The sequence below is a fragment of the Homo sapiens genome, chromosome 2 (assembly GCF_000001405.40).
Source record: "Homo sapiens chromosome 2, GRCh38.p14 Primary Assembly".
Taxonomy (NCBI): Eukaryota; Metazoa; Chordata; class Mammalia; order Primates; family Hominidae; genus Homo; species Homo sapiens.
The window spans coordinates 155,854,883-155,875,434 of record NC_000002.12 but is presented as its reverse complement, the minus strand read 5'-3'; the positions used below and the strand labels follow the sequence as shown (position 1 = coordinate 155,875,434).

The 20,552-nt window shown below is 34.4% G+C and overlaps 1 long non-coding RNA gene across 5 annotated transcripts in view, besides 1 other annotated feature; it reads left to right on the top strand.

Moving 5' to 3' along the window:
• Positions 1-20,552, top strand: part of LOC105373703 (uncharacterized) — a 158,249-nt gene that overhangs the window by 38,879 nt on the left and 98,818 nt on the right. Inside the window, exon 5 of one of the 5 annotated variants that reach the window (XR_923501.3) lies at positions 8,248-8,864. The exons of the other annotated variants lie outside the window; for them this stretch is intronic. This is a non-coding gene — a long non-coding RNA (uncharacterized LOC105373703). Of the gene's footprint in view, positions 1-8,247; positions 8,865-20,552 lie in introns of those variants that run through there. 5 annotated transcript variants of the gene reach the window in all.
• Positions 4,342-5,366: an enhancer, noted in NCBI's record as "VISTA enhancer hs411". NCBI's record gives its function as "enhancer in: forebrain[7/9]" and the evidence as "EXISTENCE:transgenic organism evidence [ECO:0001131][PMID:17130149]".

Sequence of the window (20,552 nt, the reverse complement as noted above, 5' to 3'; positions counted from 1 at the left end):
TACTTACTTAAGCCTCAGCAATGGTGGGTGCCCCTTCCTAGCCTTGCTGCCACCTTGCAGTTTGATCTCAGACTGCTGGGCTAGCAATGAGTGAGGCTCCATGGGCGTGGGATGCCCCCAGCCAGGCATGGGATATATGGGGTGTGCCGTTTGCTAAGACCATTGGAAAAGTGCAGTATTAGGGTAGGAGTGACCCGATTTTCCAGGTGCCGTCTGTCACAGCTTCCCTTGGCTAGGAAAGGGAGTTCCCTGATCCCTTGCACTTCCCAGGTGAGGCAATGCCTCTCCCTGCTTCGGCTCATGCTCGTTGGGCTGCAACCAAAGTCTGACAAGCCCCAATGAGATGAACCCAGTACCTCAGTTGGAAATGCAGAAATCACCCATCTTCTGCATTGCTCATTCTGGGAGCTGTAGACTGGAGCTGTTCCTATTCAGCCATCTTGGAACCGCCCCCTCATTAATAGGCTTTCTAACCTTTTCATTTTCTCTTTGCCTTCTAGGACACTGAAAATTTAGAAATTTGATTGCTTTATGGCATTCCATATGTCACAAAGACTTCACTCATTCTTTTAAAATTCAATTTCCTTTATTTTGTCTGGCTGGGTTATTTCAAAAGACCTGTATTCAAATTCTGAGATTTTTTTTCTTCCTGTTTGAGCTAGTCTATTGTTGTAGCTTTCAAATATGTTTTGTATTTCTTTCAAGGAATTCTTCACTTCCAGAATTTCTGTTTGGTTTTTTTTCATGAGATCTGTCTCTTTAGTCACTTTCTCATTTCTATCCTGAATTGTTTCAGTTATTTCTTTATTATTTTTCAGAATTCTCTTGTATCTCTCTGAATTTCTTTAGTATCAATATTTTGGATTCTTTTTCAGGGATTTCATAAATGTGTTTTTGATTGGGATTTGTTCTTAAACAATATTGTGTTCTTTTGGAGGTTTCACATTTTTAAAAATGTTTCCTGTGTTCTTACATTAATATCTGTGTATCTGGTGTAATAGTTCTTTCTTTCCATTTTTGGAATATGCTGTACTAAGGGAGGACGTTTTCCTGAGATAAATCTGTGGTGTTGGTTGGTTAGGACCCTTTGTCTTTGATTCTGGGTGCATTCTGTAGTGCAGTCTCTGTATGATTTATTTGGCTATAAAAACTGTCAGTTGGATCTGTGATTGCTTCTGTGGCTTAGGGTACAGTTGTTAGTAGAGATAGTGGTGAAGTTTTGCTGGGAACTGATATGCCAGCTGGGCCAGTATTCAGACCCTAGTGAGGTTGCAGCTGTAGGCTGTGCATGCCTGTCTTGGGCTCCAGGGCAATGTATGTTGGCTCTAATGTTAGTGAGTCTAGGCAGATCAATTTTAGGGCCTCCAGGTGGCTTGCTTGGGGCTGGGAATGGCAATGATTGGTTTGGCCAATGGGTGGGTTCTCAAGCCCCTGGGCAGGAAGCGTGGCATGGCCTACGGCATTAGAAGTAGTGGGACAACATTCTGGGATCCAAGTTGTCCATACCATTGTTGACAGTGGCTGTGATGGGTTGGGCAGGCTGGTCTCGAGACTTACAGGTGGTACATGTTGGTGGTTGTCAGTTGTGATGGTAGTAGCAGGTTCAGTGAACCATAGGCAGGTACCTGGAGGGTGTATGCTTTGCTTTCGCATTGGTCCTACAGCTGCTTGCAGCAGTGGCAATTGTGGGCTTTGCAATTTGTCTTCAGTGTACATGAAAATGTGCAGCTGCCTACAGGGTAGGACGCATTCTGGTGGAGACTAGCCGCTCAAATTGGCACCATGCTGCAGCTTAGGAGTTATGGGATTTAGAAAGAACTCTCTCTCTGGAGCAATGCCTTTGTGTGGTTTCCAGACAGCTACCTATGTTTGTCTTGTGGCCCATGAAGATTGAGGGACTCTCCTTGGCTTAGATTGTAGGCATCCAGGTGGGAACGTGGACAACTGGGATTCCCTCAGTTACCCTTTCCCTGCATTAGAAAGTCTCTCTAGACTCTAATTCATCCTTGATGAACAGGCTGCCTCGATTTCCTCTCCTTCCTTGCTTTCAGTGCCTCCCATCACTTCTCGGTTGAATTTTAGTGTTCTCACTTAGATGATCTGTTAATTCATGTGATTATCTACTCACAATTTGGTTCCTCTCCATGGAAGAGGCATGTGCCAGATGCATCTAGTGAGCCATCTTGAAGTTCCTCCAGTTGCTTTTCATTTCTTTATAAATAATTTCTTCATGCATTTAGCAATATCAGAATTCGAGCATTTAACTTGGAGGCTTCTTACTTTCTGGGGTATCTGTGTTCCTATCAAAGGCTAACTACTCATCCTCACTGCCTGCTTATATCCCCACCTACTTGAGTGTTCTAAATATGTTAATTTTTTTCCCTGAAATGCTTTAGTGTAAACCGTATAATGTCATGTTTGTACATGTTCTTTCTTGATACTCATTTTATCAGATAAATTTCTCAATGAATTTTAAACACTTAAAGGTCAAAGAGCTGCCTGTTTCCTAATTTCCTACCCTTTCTTTATTCCCAAACCCAGTGCTGCAAGTGAGACAAATGCCTAATAAATACTTGCAGGAAAACAGAAATGAAATCTATTTCTAATAATTATCAGCTTGTATTTTGTTGATTTGTACCTTTTAAAGATTTGTTATTGCAAAAGTAACATATACATATGTTCAAAAGGCTAATCAGTACAAAAAGAGATCTATCTGTGGCAAATAGATCTCCCCCATGCCCAACCTTCTGACCCTCTTCCCAGAAGCATTCCCAGCTCTATTTCCTGTACAGCACTCTTAGGGATCACCTAGTTCATTCATCTCAGCCTGCAGTGTTCTAGGTTGGCAGTCAGCCCTCTTTTCCTTCAGTTGGGGCATGTGTACATACCAGAGAAAGTTGTCTCTGAGTTGAGAGACTGGCTTGTTTTTTAGCGCTGCAAAATAATTAAAAATGAATGGATACGGTTGAATTGTAGAAAGCGTATTTATTATTTCCAGTAGTTATAAAAAAATCCTTGAAATTAAAAATCATACTTTGAACAGGTCGATTAGTCAGATTTAATTTTTCTTTCACTCTCTTATATTGGTGTAAATATTTTCATCTGTTATGCATAAACAAAAAGTGTATTAAACTGTCAAACATAAATGATTTCGTTTTGGCCACCATGGCTTGAGGGATTTATTTCGAGTCTGTTGTGCTACTATTTGCCCCTAGGATGTATAATCTATATTTTAGGGGAATGTGGCTTACTGTAAGACACCTGTATTATTTATGTGTGATTAATATTTGCGTTATGGTGAATGAGGTTTTTTGGCCTTACTTTTCTCTTATAGTGACTTAATCATTTCTCACAAGAATGTAGTCATTGTAATAAAACATTCCACGTACTAGTTTGTTTTTCAGCAGTGACAAATGCAATTGTAGTAAAATGTGAATTTTCAGTTATTAAATATGGCATCATGAATGTAATTTACTGAGCTACATCTGCAAGATACTGCTATATGGCACTGCTGAAGCTAAAACCAGGCCAGTCCTTATTGTATAAATTTAAATATAAACATTGGTGAACAGAATCTTTAAATCACAATGCTTAGGCCTCCATACCTAATTTTGTGTTTCTGGATATAAATCTGTAAACCATAAAAACAGTTGGTTATATGGATGCCTATTAAGAAGGGTTCATTGTAGTTTGCAAATTTGCAACAAATTATGAAGATCTTTGATCACTTCCTGACAGATAATATCATGCGCCAAATTAGGACATATGTCAAAGTTCCATTCTGTGGGTCATAAGACATGAAATTTTTTTACAACATTCTTTTAGAAAAAGCACTTATGTTGGAAGAATGAGAAATTGTAAGAGTTCCAAAATCTAGAAGGCTAAAGTTCAGTTAGATATTAATGTTACCTGCCAGAATAATCTTCTTTCACAATGGTGACAGTGAAACATATTGCTTTTAGCAATTATAATACAGACTTGGCATCATATGGATTATTGAATATAAAAGAAATTAATCTTAAAATGGCCACAATAAGTCTTTTAATTGAGTTTTGGTGAGCTTTGCCAAGTGGTAAGAAAGAAGATATAAACATAAAAGATTATACATACACACACTCATGCACACACATGGGTGTGTGTGTGTGGTGTGTGTGTGTGTAGCTGGACAACCTTCCTTTGTGAATACCTGAAAGTAGTAACTTTTTTGTCACTTAATGATATTACTTTAAATTTGAAAAGATGCAAATAACTCTGGAATTTGAAACCTTTTTTTTCTTTATACCTTGTCTATTATTAGTTATAGCCCAAGTTTTATACTGTAATCTTGCAAGTGATAAATATTTTGGAAATAGAACCCTCTGTCAGTATTTCAGAGAAGGGATTAGATTATGTGTCTATTAAAGGTGTGATAGAAGAATCATGTATGTAAATACTGGAATTGTGATATATTAAAAACCTTTCAGGTATATATTAAAATTGTGAAAGTGCTCAAACTTACCGAGTTTCCAGAAGAAGCCATCAAGAGTATTAAAGAATGATGTTGATAATTATACTAAATTCTAAACCAGGATATGGGGGACAAGGGCTTTAAAACTTCAGAAACATCAATTAAAGCCCAAGTTGTGTGCAATAAGCATCAAAAATTGATAAAAACTCAAATTTAGGGTTTTAGATTTAGTGTTTAAATCAATCAACTGCAAACAAGATTTAATTAAAGAATATTATTTCAAAGTGTAATTACCTACTGGGATTAGAATGAACCTCTATTGCCCATAATGTTCTCCTACTGTGATCCCACACTGAAAAATGTTGAGTTTTAGATTAATATGCATCTTGTAAGTACAAGTCTTAATCTCAATCTTAAAGGACATTTAAAACACACTTGGAACCTTCTATGCAATCAAGCCCAGTGTGACTACTCTGTCCACCATGCTAAATTTGTGATTACATTTTTTATGTGCATGATTTAAATCGCTTTAGCAGCAGTCCAGGGAGCATTTTACCCTGCATATTAATTACACAAAGGCTTTGTCATGTGAGGGTCTCAGTGGTCATGGTCTGTAATCCAGCTCATTTGAACTGTGAGTACAGTTTTTGAGCATGCTGTGCACATCAAGCCCAGCTTTAAAGCTAGAATAGGCTGAGATGGTTAACAGGTATGGTTCCTGCTTAAGGAATGAATGCCATTTATTTAGTGACATCTGCAAACTAATTGCTTAAAAATCTGAAAGTGAATATGTGTGCTCAGAAGTCTGTTATTAATACATAAAGAACAAGATTCCAGGCCACAGCATTCCAGTTCCTATTGTCTCAAGCTAGCAGTATCTATATAATCATATGATTCCATCATAAAATTCATGTTACGCAAAAGAGATTTTTTTTTCTTTTTATGCTTCAATAATGTTATCATCAGTCCATTTAAATGTTTGGAACCATTTTTAAACTTGTGATTTAAAGAGGAATTAAATATATTTTAAATATATATTTATATATGTTTTGCAATACCAAGAAGCAGAAAGTAAAGTGAAAGATCATTAAAAACCCTAGCATCTCTATTGAAGAATTTTCAAATATTCAGTACTTAAAATATGTCGCTTTATTATAACAGTTTGGCATTGAAATTATCAGAAAATTAATGTAGTCTTTGTACATGCATTTTAGTGGGCTAGTCATATAATATTAGTCTATCATATACTATTAAAACAAAAATGGAAGTTCATATCATATATGACATTGGAAGCTTGATGTCAATGGAAGCCTACAGTGGTTCCTAAGCATGAGGGAAATTCAGAATTATTTCAGTAAATGCTATATAGAGACACCCCAGACCCATGCCAGAATTTTAAAATCAAAGCCAGTAAAAGAAGGATATGGTCGTGTGCATGTGTATTCTGAGAAAAGACACTGAAAATCCAGAATCACTAATGGTTAGCTGAGCAATTTAATAGAAAATAACTCTGCTTTAATTTATGTCCAAAGAAATATAATGACAGAAATATAGAAAAGACACACAATAAAAGAATGGTAAATGCTTCAAGATTCACTTTTCTGGGTAACTCCATTGAATCCCTGCCAGCAAATGATGTAGCAAGCAATCTTTTAATTGACACATATGACTATATCATCACACTTTACTGGAAGAGCAAAGAAAGTATAATATTTTTAAATGCCAAATTATGTCTTAAAAACATAAAATGGACAGTCTAAATGTGAGCTACTGAAATACTTTATAAAACCTAAGTGGAAATAAAATAGGAATTGATTCTTCTTTTGTTAAACTTAAAAAATATGTGGCATATCTATCATGCCTACCAATATTTGAGGGAGAAATTAATCATCTCTCAGAACGAATGACCATCTCTGTTATTAAAAATATGTGTTCAATTATTTATGTATAACTTTTCTTATTCAAAGCAATTTACCTTTTACTTCTTAATCTTAAAATCCAGCTAGCAACTAAACTATTTGAAATTCTTCCTGAGACTCCTGGAAAAGTTCTACTCATTCAATATTCAATACAGATGTTTTTTAAAAAGGATGTTCCATGCATTAGGCACTGTAAATGGTGCTGAGGAGAGAGAGATAGCTAAACTATAGACTCTGGCTTAAGGAACTTACAATCTTTAGGAAAGAAATATGACAAAACAAAAGATTAAAATATAGTATAACAAGAAATGCATAGAAATAAATAACTTTATTTTTCTAAGCTTGTCTTCCATTGTCAGTTTTATTTTTCATTATATAATAAATGTTTTGGAAATAAATTATTTTCCATATACTTTGAAATAATTATTTGATAATGAAAATAGAAATTTATTATTAGCATTTACAAGAATATGTACCCTATAGACTTATTTTCATTTAATCAGAGTAAAATTTATGATTTGAATAAGGTAGACCTGCCCTGCAGGTAGGGAATTTTAACATGAGTTTTTGGTGCAGGAAGAATTATGTGTAGGTTATAATAAGCAAAGGGTATGTAAAGTTACAGATATTTTTGTGAAATTGGCTCAAATGTATCCTATGCATTGAGTTGCATATTTAAAGGATTTTTTGGTGTGGTATTTGAAGAGTCAAATGCTACGTTGACTTACACTTATGCATCATTGTATTATAAAAAGATTCAAGAGAAATTTGGCTATGCCATTTAGCAGGTCTGACAGCCTTTGTAGGAGTGTGAACACTTAAGAGGCCATGTAAAAATGCAGTGTCTATGTCTGAACATTTGTGCTTTCGTACTGTTGGTTTGGGTTACAAAAGATTGTGATGGTTTTTAAAGGAACAGCATCAGTTCTATCAACTCTAAATATTTTAATATTAATTTCCACTTTGGTAAAGCAGAATGAAGATTTAAGATAGATATCCAACTAATTTGAATTATATAGGCAGCCTTTACAATTACCTGAATATCTCAGTAAAAAAAGAATTATCAGTAGGATGTGACTTACTTCTGTTCTTCATTTCTGTTTGGCCACATGGATGCCAAAAATTATGAATATTTGGAAACAGCCTTGGCAATTGTGTTTTTCACTTTTCTTAGGGATGGCTGGCATCATATAGTCAAAGACCTCATTGAATTTTGTAGCCTTTACAATGATTTTCAAAAAAAGAAAACCATTTTATACGAGGCATATTTTAAGAGTTTGTTACTTAAATCAGTTTGACGACTAAAGCCTGACGTCATTCAATTTAAATTTTATCAAAGAATCAGGGCTCTTTCTTAAAATAATCTGTCTTCTAGTGACTGCTTAACACTATTCATGAAACAGTGTAATTCTTTCCAGAGAAATCACTGGAAATTAAGCTTTTGTAATCATTTATTTAAATTTCCCAGTTCTTTAAGCAACAGTTTTCCTCCCTTAAAACTGGTCCAAAATTCTGGTAATTGGAAGTTAATATGCCCTTTCAGGGTTGATGACTTTTCTTTAATGTTCTTTCTTCTGTTTACTTCATAGAGTTGTACATTAATAAAAATCCATAGATTAAAGCCATGGAGTTATTTTTCTAATGAAAAGGCTCCCTAAGTATCTGGCATTTTATATCAAATTTTAATGTTTCCAATTTTGAAATCTCAGCAAAAAACTGTTGATGTGGGTCCCCTTTGATAAATTATAAAGGTAAACTTTAATGAACATTGAATAGGATCACCTTTGCTACTTGGGGTAATAGAATAAAATAAAACAAGCAAACACATTTTTCTTACTGCCACATGCCTCTCCTTAATAATAACTTTTGTCTCTTCCACAGGAATAGATGCTGTGTAAGTCTCATTAAATTACCTGACTGATGGAATAAATACACAGCCTATAGCTCGGCAGTCCATAGTAAACTGAACAAGGGTCTTGATATCTCAGAGTTCTGCTTATTTACACATGCCTTGGACTCTTCTCACAGATATGTAAATTATTCTGGTTAAAACTAAATGCTAAAGTCTACACCATTAGTCTTCCACTTCATGATCTCCACATGGGGCTGTTAGAGGGATAATGTACCATACAATACACGGTTTACTTTTAATTAATAGAAAAAAATGTGAAATGAATATTAAATGTAGCTTAATGTGAAAGAAAGCTCAAAGCAGTTTGGTTGTTATTTATTTATTTTAAAAATATTCAGTCCCGCTTCATGATTAGAAAATAAGGAATGCATTACCGGACTGGAAGCCTTGCTGGAGACTTGGAAGAAAAAAAGAGCTTGGAGAGGCTTTAACAAACCAGCTAATGGTACTGGGCCTGACACAAAGAAGGGATGCTTTAGGGAGCGGTCCAAGGAGCTCTGCTCTGTGCCTATTGAATCCCAGCAGAGCTTTTCTCTATATTCCCTGCTGAGATTGTCCCCTGCTCTATACCATACGAATTGAAGGATCTGGTATTAAATCGTAGAGTAAAAAAGCTCATCAAATAGAGCATTTAATTAAAACACAAGATCTGTTTGTCTGTGTTATAATTCAATGTGTCAAAATTAATGCCTCTGTTTTTAATAAATAGAATTACCAATTCGCAAACAGTTTATCACACTGTTCCCAACCACAGAATGGAATTTTAATCATATAACATTATTTATGGCAATGAAATGATCGTGTTTCATAATGTTTGCCAACAGCACAAGTTCGGGTTTAGAAAGAAAAGCTCTATTAAATAATCACTTCCTTCGGTGGATTCCCTTTTGTCTCATTTGGCTCACCTAGGATAAGGTAAAGACCTTGGGAAAAGACAAAGAGCATGAACAATTCTGGCTAGGCTTTAGGAGATAACAAAGTCCTCACCGAAAGCACTTATTTGCAAGATTAAAGGGTTTGAAGTAAAGCCTGAAATTAGTAACTTTTCATCTCTTTTTACCCAGACAGCCAGTGTTTTGTAATAAAATGAAGACCTTGCACTTTCAAGCCTTCGTGCCAGACAGACTGTGAAACTGAATGCTACTCAATTTTAAATTATTCATACATTCTTAATGTGATGTTATCCTTATAAATGATAGTAATGGTACCGTTTAAAACCTAGAAACCAGCAGGCACCTGCCAGTGAAACGGGTTCATTTAAAGCATAGTCATTGAATCCTTAATATGAGCGGATAGTCCAGAAGACTCAGCTAGAGGAAAGTCAGTAAGACATTTGATTTTACAGTTAGGAATTAGGTAGCTTGACATGATTAGCAGAAGGGAAGTGAAATGCCAGTGCTTAAATTACAGAGAATTTAGAGACCATTTGGAGAAATCACCCTGGGCTTAGACAGTACTTGTAGAAAATTCTACTAACTCTCTTTATAAGAGCATTAGCTACAAATAATTGTTTTCATATTACTTAGAAGAGATCAAAATATACCATGAGGAAAAAAGACATGTGAAATCGTGAATACATTCACTTGCTCACTTCAAAAAATATAAAAGTTTGTGTATATGTCTAAGTGCATCTGTGTGTGAATTTGAGTGCTTAAAAAAGTTTGTGAGAAAGATCCATGTAACAATCCAAATAGCTCTTTTCTGAGTATTAAGATAACTGAGTTGAGTCTATAAAAACTAAGGTCTTTACAAGACATACCATACCAGTCATTTTGCTTTCTCCAACATTAAAAAAAAATGATGTTGCTTTGAATTCATTTTCAGAATCCTTTTAGTGATATCAACACTTGTCATGGTGTTGGGAGAAGAAATGTCTCTCTGAAATGTGGCCATATTCTTTTGGAACATACTTGTTAAAAAAAAAGCAACTTTTTGAGGTTGTGTCATTTTTAGATGGACATTTTTACATACATCAATTTTTGTAACCTTTTGAACATTTTTTCTTTCTTTCCTGTTTGTAATTTCACATTAAGAGTCTTTTTTTGAAAAGGAATTTAGTTGTTAAATACTTTATTCAGCTATCAGTTTTCACATGTTCTAAATAAGTAAGGAAATTAATAACAGATTTCTGTTCATCCAACTTTGGGTTCAAGACACAAGTGTCTCCAGGACTCTAATGATACTGCTTTAGGTGTCATTAAATAATTCTGGCCTGCATATTATTAAAGCTTACAAGAGCTGGTGTTAGTGAATCTCATTTGAACTCCTTGAAATCTGTTATTTATACCTGAAGCCTTTTCTTGTATCCATTAAGAAAAGGTACTCGCATGTCTAGAAGTCTCAAAGTTGATTAATATGAGATTTTAACACTCCTTTCCACAAAACCCCAACCCAAAGGGTGTTTGCTCTTGTTAATTGTTTACTTGATTGCTTGTGTCTGTCCTGTGGCCTCAGTGAAATGAACTCCTTTTTCCACATGCATGTGTACTGAAAAATAATATTTACTTTTAATTAGGATAATGAATACAATGGTCAGATAGGAAGCCTAATAATATTACACTACTAAAATAAGGTGTCTCAAAATTGAAATGTATCCTTTCCTTAAAATTTGAGATTTTAGAGTTTTAGAAGACACAGTTTAATGTTTCAAGCATAGTTGCTTGATATAGATTGTTTGGGTAAAATGCAGGATTTGATGCCTCCATACCACCTGTGTGTCCTTGGGCTCAACAGGGACACATATACAATCACAGCATTGAGATAGGTGCTTGACTTCTGTTAGCTGTTCAACAGCTATGGACTATCTGGAAGGTCAGTTTTAGTGGGGAACCAGCTTTGTACATTTTATAATGTACATATACATTCTGTATAGTCTTACTAGCAAATACTTGGGTCTTTAGCGTATTGAATAAGCAGAATGTCACAAAATCAATTTTATTTAGTTGTCTCACTGGTCTTTTAAATCATTTGAGAGGATAATCCTCACCTTGATTCTTGATGGTGCTTCCATCAGACCTCATGACTTCCTCTGATCTTGAAGCACACAAAAATGTTCTCTATCATTTTTCTAAGCTCAATTCACTACATTGAAAAGGTCCAGTCCCCAAAATTTATCAAAATATTCAACTTCATTTAATATTATATCTTTTTCCAACCTCTATTTTATCATGCTGACAAGCATGGGCGCTTGTGGTGGGGAGGGCATGGCAGTCTCCTTTTTTTTTTTGCCACCGAACAGTGGCCTCACTCCTCAAGGGTGCCAATCGAGGTTTTAAGTTCTGTCAGGCTCAAGAGGTACTGGCTGGAAGAAAGAGTAGAGGGATAAGATAATTCACCACATGATACTTTTTCTTATTCATATCCTTCTCCCAAATAGCCTCATTTTTATATTTAACTTATTTTGTTCCTTAAGAACTAATGAATTCAGTGTCACCTGGTAAATGTTTATTAATAAATTACACGAAGTGCCAATCAATGGACAGCTAATTCTCACTGCATAATGACAAATACTGCATGATCTTACTTATATGTGGGATCTAAAAAAGTCAAACTTACAGAAGCAGAGACTGGAATGGTGGTTACCAGGGGCAAGAGGAAATAGGAGATTGAAGAGATGTTGGTGAAAGGACACATAGCCTCTGTTCGGAAGAGCAAGCTCAGGAAATGTATTGCACAGCATGGTGATTATAGTTAATAACAATGCATTGTATACTTGAAAATTGCTAAGAGACAGTAGATTTCAAATATTTTCACTAGAATAAAAGTAAGTATGTGAGGTAGTGAATATGTTAATTAGCTTGATTTAGTTATTCCACGATGCAGACATATATCAAAATATTATATACACCATAAATATATACAATTTTTATTTGTAAATTAAAAATAAAAATAAAAGTTCTAAAAAAAGAAAAAGACTTGATTTCTATCCCTGAACATACAAATCTTTGTCACATTTTTGGTTCATGAAACAATTCTGACACCTCCCTAACATTTGGAATTATTCTCTCATAAAAAGTTCAAGTATTTTATTCTCTTAATTTTGATAGTAAAAATTTCCCATTAAACAAGTCTTCTTGGGATAAGAAATATATTTCTTTTGGATAGTTTTGATGCCAGCTTAAAATTTTAAGTTATTTAATATGTAATCATATTATTTATAAAAAATGTAATAGAATATAATTAGTCGAGTATGGTGGTGCCCACCTGTAATCCCAGCTACTTGGGAGCCTGAGGCAGGAGAATCACTTGAACCTTGGAGGCAAAGGTTCCACGGAGCCAAGGTCACTCCACTGCACTCCAGCCTAGGCAACAGAGGAAGACTTTGTCACACACACAAAAAGTAACAGACTATAGAAAATTTGAAAAATAGTTCACAACACAGTTTCTCACAAAGGAATGGAAAATATTTTAATTTGATTGCTAAATTTAACATGTTTGTAATGACTCTAGCACAGAGGGTTGAGAAAGATTCTTTGGCCACAGTACCTGTAATTGATTGATAATGTCTGCTGTGATACACGAAGGAGTGCCATATATATGCCCTCCACATCCTAACATTACCACTAACCACATGGTAAGAATTTCTTTCCAGTTATTTTTTTCTATGTATATTATTTACGTTTTTATGATTATTGTGCTGAACAGCAATTCTAAATACATATATGTGCATGGCTCATGAGCCTCATTTCTGCTTCTGAATTTATTGAAATGACTAAACTTTTATGAATTAGTCATTAGTATACAAGATGGGCAGGAAGATTCAATCACTTTAAAATTCCATGTAGAGGAAAATACACATAAGCAAGAGTGCTACTTATATATTAACTCTATTAGGAAGTATGTATTATATTAAAGATAATTATTTTATTAATTTAAAATATTTGATTTGAAATTCTGGATTAAAAATTAGTATTTTACCTTTCTTAACATTTTAACCATTGGAAGAAATTTTGATAAGTTCTGGGCAGAATATTTTCCATTCTGTCATATTCCCCATATGGGAAAATAAGCTTAAATGAACCTTATGGAAGGCATGAAAATGGGCTTTATTGATGCCCAGCTCCCCTGCCGAAATATATTTTTACATGTATATACATGCACACACACACACAGACACTCGCACACACACACAGACACACACACACACACACACATATATATTCAAATATTTTATTTTGATTGTGAAATTTTTCTTTAGAAATTCCCACATAACTAATATATTTTAAGGATTGGGGTGAATGCTCTATTTTAAAAATATAACACTAATTATACATTAATTGAATCTTATATTCTTATATTTTCTTCAACTTTTTAATTTGAGAAAATTATAGATTCACACATAATTGGAAGAAATAATAGAGAGACATCACACATACCTTATACTAATTTCCCCCAGTGCTTATAGCTTACAACATTAGTGTAATAGTATCAGATCATAAGCAAAATATTGACATCGATAAAGATACAGAACAGCTCCAACATGAAAAGTATCTCTCCTGTTGCCACACCAACTTCCTTCCCCATCCTTTTGCTATTTTTACAATTTTGTCATTTTGAACCTGTTATACATTTGGCTCTCTCTCTGAGTTCCACATCCACAAATTTAACCAACTGTGGGTCAAAAATATTCAGAAAAATAAAATATAATACAATAATAAAAAATACAAATTTTAAAATACAGATTAAGAAATATTTGCATTGTATTTATATAATAAGTAATCTAGAAATAATTTAATATATACAGGCGGATGTGTGTAGGTTGTATGCAAATACTATTCCATTTTATATATGGGATTTGAGCATGTGTGGATTTTGGTATCCCTGGGGATCTTGGAAACAATCTCCTGCAGATACTGAAGGATGACTGTATACATGAAATCATAAAATATTTAATGTTTAGGGATTGACACTTTTCACTCAGCCTAATTCCTGGACATGTATCTAAGTTGTGTGTATCAACGGTTTGTTTCTTTTTATTCCTAAGTAGACTTCCATTGTATAGATGTACCGCAATTTGTTTAACCATTCACTCAAGAAAGGATGTCTGGGGTTTTTCATTTTTTAGCTGTTACAAATAAACTGCTGTGAACATTTGTGTACAGATTTTTGTGTGAACATAAGTTTTCATTTATATGAGACAAATACACGAATGTTCAGTGGTTGAGTCATATGGTAATTGCATGTTGAGTTTGATAAGAAATTGACTAACTTTTTTTTTTTTTTTTTTTTTTGAGACGGAGTCTCACTCGGTCACCCAGGCTGGAGTGCTGTGGTGTGATCTCCGCTCACCGCAACCTCTGCCTCCAGGGTTCAAGTGATTCTCCTGCCTCAGCCTCCCAAGTAGCTGGGATTACAGGCGCCTGCCACCACACCCAGCTAATTTTGTATTTTTATTAGAGATGGAGTTTCACCATGTTGGCCAGGCTGGTCTCAAACACCTGACCTCAAGTGATCTGCCGGCTCAGCCTCCCAAAGTGCTGGGATTAAAGGCATGAGCCACTGCGCCTGGCCCAACTGTTTTCAAGAATGGCTGTGCTAGGCTGGGCATGGTGGCACATGCTTGTATTCCCAGCTACTCCAGAGGCTGAGGCAGGAGGATCTCTTGAGCCCAGGAAGTTGAGGCTGCAGTGAGCCATGATTGTGCCACTTCACTCTAGCCTGCACTCAACAGAGTGAGACACTGTCTAAAACAAACAAACAAACAAACAAACAAAAAACCAAAAAAGAACAACTGGACCATTTTGCATTCTCACCACCAATGTTTAAATGGTTCAGTTTCTTCAAATTCTCACCACCATTTGGTGGTGTCACTATTTTTTCCCCTAAGTATTCTAATAGATTTACAGTAATATTGATTGTGGTTTATGATTTTCATTTTTCTGATGGCTAATTATGTTGAGCATCTTTTCATTTGCTTATTTTGCATTTGTCTATTCTTTCAGGCAAATATCTTTCCATGTATTTTTCCTAATTTGTAATTAATTTTTAAAAATTCTTCAGTTTTGAGAGTTTTTGTATATTCCAGATACTGTCTTTTTTTTTTTTTTTTTGGTCTGTTATGTGGTTTGCATGTATTTTCTCCCAGTCTCTAGTCTGTCTTTTCATCTTCACATGAGCTTTTACAGATCAAAGATTTTAATTTTGATAACGTCCAGTTTGTTTTCTCTTATAATTTATGCTTTTGTTGTCATTCTAAAAATTTTTGCCTGGCCTAGATCCCAAATATTTTTATCCTGTTTTTTTTCTGGAAGTATTTTTTTCTTAACTTTTTCTAAAGTTTTAAATCTGTAATCCATTATGAGTTAATTTTCATATAAAATGTGAGATTTAAGTTGGGTGTCATTTTTTCGACTATCGATATACAGTTGTTCCAGCCCAATTTGTTGAAAAGGCTTACTTTTCTCCATTGGATTGCTTTTGCACCTTTGTTAAAATCAGTTTAGCATATTTATATTAGTCTGCTTCTGGGCTCTTTATTCTGTCCCATTGATCTGTGTGTCTGCCCCTCTGTCAATACCACATAACATTGATTATTAGCTATCTAGTAGGCCCTTATATCTGGTAGAGTGATTCACTCTACTGGCTAGAATCTTGCTGGAATTTTAATAAGACCTGCATGCAGTAAACCTACAGATCAATTTAGATAGAACTGACACCTTTAGTATGTTGAGCATTCCAACCTATGCTCATGGCATATCTCTACATTTACTAAGATCTTTCTTTCATCAGCATTATATAATTTGCAGCGTATAGATATGATATTTATTTTGTAGGTTTACACATAAGATGTTTTGTTAATTGTGGGGCTTTGGGGGTAATTATAAATTGTATTATGCTTTTAATTGTGGCTAATAATTTAAAAATTGTTCAATATTTCTGTCATTTTAAAGATGACTATATGACCATTCACTTTTCAGCAATGCTTAAACTTTTGTAATCATTTCTTTCCTTCCTAAAGAGTTTAAATACAAAACAGAGTGGAACCTAGAATTGTTACTACTAACAGAAATGTGTAGTGATCTAAAGCCATTATAGCCATATTGTTTGAGAGAGGAAGGCTCAAGCAAATATGTATGACACAGACTTATGGACAAGAGATACACACACACACTGGATCATAGTTTAAATGGAGTATCAGCTGGTTAAATTTATATCAACATAACTTTTAAAGCTTCTCCCTTATTATACATGTGCTTATATGTAATACATATAAGGATGAAGGTAGTACAATATGTATATTATGAAGTAGGCAACAAATGTCTCAGAATATTTTAAGGGATAAAATTAACATAAATAGAAATTTCATATTATTCTTTTCTTATCTCAAAGGATCATTTTGCATACCCAAAAAGTGTGTGCATTACACTTTTGAGAACGTAGGTTGAATAATCCTATTTAAAAGGTGATGACATATCTTGATCTAAGAGGAGGTCTCAAGTATTGTGGTCCAGGCCTATCCCTGTTCTATATTCTATATTTGTATTGATGTGTTTTCATTTCTCCTCTTGTCAACATCCAATCTATTACATACACATCAGGTGATGTGATTTTTGTAAAATTTGCATTTGGATGATATCATTCTTCTATTGAAAATCTGATAATGGCTTCTTAAAGCATATAGGAAAAAAAATCTGTTCCTTTATGATAGCCTACATGATTTAGTACAGCCTAACTCTCCTCCTGTATTTCTTGCTCATGTCTTCCATGTTACTCTTACAGTTCTGGCAGTCAGTTTTTTCCTCAAACAAGCTAAGCTCTGTTTTCCTGGCCTATATTATGATTTTTCTACATCTTCCCCTCATTGCTTCTTGTAACATAACCTTAAAGTTGTAAATTAAATGTGAATTCCTTTATGTTATCTTCCTTAAACTTTCAGTTTAAATTGGGTTTGTCTACCCATCTTCTCAAGCTATTCTTTATCTCAGCACCCATCCCCCGTTACATTAATACAAATGGTAATTATTTTTCTTGTTCTCTTGCTTTTGTTTCACACTATTTCCCTGCAAGTGGCTGTAAGCTATAAGAGGGCAGGGTACATAAGTCTTTTGTTTACCTTGGCTTATAATATAGGTTCCATAAATGTGTGCTGAGTGAATGAATGAACATTGAAGATACATAGAAGTTAAAAAGAAATAAATCTGGAATGTATGTTTAGAATTATGTTTGGCCTATAAAATTAATTGTGTATAATTTTCCACAAATGGTAGAAGATCCTTGCAATTTTTCTTGACTGCATATTTACCAGTATTATTGTGGATGAAAAATTTAAAAAGAAAAATGGTGTCCAGAAACAGAGAGTTGCGAGCTTCGGTGCATTATTTTCTGATTATATTTCTGAGGTACCGTGTTCCATTTAGGTGAATATCTTTGCCCCAGTATCTTTGTTTTTTACTGAGGTATCATTTATATTTCCTAAAAATTCACACATTTTGAATGTAGTTTGATGTCTTGGTAAGTGTATAAGATCACATAAACACCACTAATATCAAAATACAGAGCAGTTATTAGAGTGATATTTTAAAAAGGAATATCACTTACCTGAAGTGTATGTGGAAGAAGATCAACATTATGGGGTAACTAGAATGTGTACCTAATGGAGATTAGTGGAAGAAATTGGGCATATAAGACAGGTCTTCTATTTTGACTTGGAGCTAATGCAGGAGTGAAACGCGACACCTTTTGTCAACTTTTTGAAGGACCATTACTTGAAAGAGGGATTTAATCACTTCAGTCTGTTCTTAAGAAGCAGAACAGAGACCTATACATAAAGATTACAGGCAGGTAGATTTTAGCTTACCTAGGGGGAAGATGTTTTAGGAACTGGTGCTTCACAAAGAAATGAGCTCCCCATAGTTGAAAGGATTCAACCAACAGTTAAATATGTTAGGAATCTTGTAGCAAATTTTTCCTAACTTGAGTAGAGGTTATGGAGGACGATCTTTAGGCTGTCTCTTCCAAAGTATTTGTTGAATAAATAAGATCACTGGGTTAGGAGGTTTAGGTGGTGAAGTACTCCAAGGAGAAGTGGGATTTGAGTTGAAGTAGAAGAAAGCCTTTGGGGTTTTCAATTACATACAGAGAAAGATAGGTGGAAGGAATATTCAGAAGGAAAACTATTAGAAAGGCAAAGATATGTAACAACATATATCCATTCAGGTTGGATTGTTCTAAATAACCACTTAGATTTTATGGATCACAGACCACTGAAATAGGAAGAAAAAGTGCTCTCTCACACTGCTTTTTAAAAAATTTTTTTATTTCTAAAATAGATTTAAAAGTAAGAGAAGAAAGAATTTTATCTGCTTGTACAAATTCTCTGGTCTCTTAAGCAGGACTAATGATCTTAAATTTGCAAATAGCACATAGCTACAAACAAATATATATTTTTGATTTAAAAACACCATGTGCGTTTGCTTTTCTTCCAGGCAGATAATGGGCCTTTTTCTCTCATAGTTCAACTGAAAAAAATTGGTAGATTTTCTTTATAATATGCTATTATCCTAAAACTCAAAAGCAAACCCAAATACCATCAGTGGTTATAACCTGTGTTGTGTTTGAAAATGGAAATTTGACCACTTCAAACAGCAAAATCTTCATTTCCATTAGTTTTATGAACTGCCTGATTGTAGTTCAGGATAAAATGTACACTATTCTGTAGGTTGCTATGATGCACCAGTCAAGATGATGGAAACAAAGGCAATTATTTGTACTAGAAATAGCATATTTCATTAAGCACTTCATGCATGAATATAGCTACTTTGGAGCACATTGCCTTTTATTGGATTTATACCCTCAAAGTTATAGACAGGTCTTCTATTTTAGTTATGGAGATTTGTCTTTGGACATCTTTCTTGTATATATCTTTTAATTATGCATTTTATACACAATATTTTATAAATCACCAACATTCAATAAACTAAACAGTCAATTGAATTGATAATCATCTTCCAGTCAATGAACAAAAGACTACCCATTAAAAAAACAAAGATAAGTTGTTCCTTATTGCTTTAGCAAAGGAAAATAAGGACAAAGTTTAAATAAATGATTTCTATAGGCTCAAACACAGGTAAAAAGCAAAGTTTCATAGACCTTTCAGAATTGTCAGGAGTGATCAAATATTTTATTAGAAATAGAATGATCTAGATATGGTTGTGAAACAATTTTACTTTAAAAAATGATAAAGTAATGGATCTGAATCTCCATCTAGGGATCACACTAGACAAAATATAGGCTATTTTGTTTTACTTACTGAAATGTGAGTAGAAAGCCAGAAGCTTTAGACTTTTGTTATTCTTAAGGGAAGTGACAGCAAATATTGATGACCAAAATGGAAGTGTTTACCCAGACTGTATAAACGAAAACTCTCAAAATGAGTTACTAAAACATTTTTCCTTTCCCATAGTTCAGAAATGCAGACTTTAATTTTAAAGGGAGATGATCTTCCTGCTTCTAGATTCAAGGTCTTCACATACTTCCATCATGGATGTAGGAACAGGCCCTTGGGAAAATCTGTAGTCTGAGAATAGGTTATCTGGGAATAAATCACCCAGGCTTGCTAGTGGTTTGTGTTATTGAAGATTGAAAAATCATCATACCTGTATAATCCCTGGTACATTTTCTTGTGCAGTAGAGTTATACTATACCCATCTGGAGAATAGTCGGAGGTTGAGTCTACCAATTTTTAGCTATCTTATTTTGGATAAGTTACCCAATTATTCCAGACTTTAGGTTTTCTCCGTGAAATGGGGATAACAATGTTCATTTTAGAAGGACTGATGTGAAGACTAGAGGAGTGCATGCAAAGCATCAACCTAGTGCCCAGTTCATGACACATGAAATCCATGTAAACCACAGTATAAGTCATTAGGTGAGATATAAGGAGAAGATCATTATCATGTTAAGCAAGAAATAATATGACTCATTTGCTAATTATTTAATCAAACTTGAGGGAAACCAGATTCAGTTGTATTGGAGATTCTGCACATTTAGCTCTAAAGATTCTTATCTACGTCCATTTCTAGTCATTCACTTAATAAACTTTTATTAAGTGCCCAGTATGTTTCAGTAACTATTCTAAACCCTAAGTATACAAAAATGAATAGAATAGGGCTTAACTCTCATTTTGCTCCCATTCCAGTGGGAGAGACAGATTCAAACAAAATGCATTAAGTGTAACTATGGAGGTGCAGGCAAGGGCTGGGAGAGCTTAAGGAGCAAGTATTGAAATCCACTTAGAAAAGTCAGGAGAATTTTTAAGAAGAGGTAAGGAATTGAG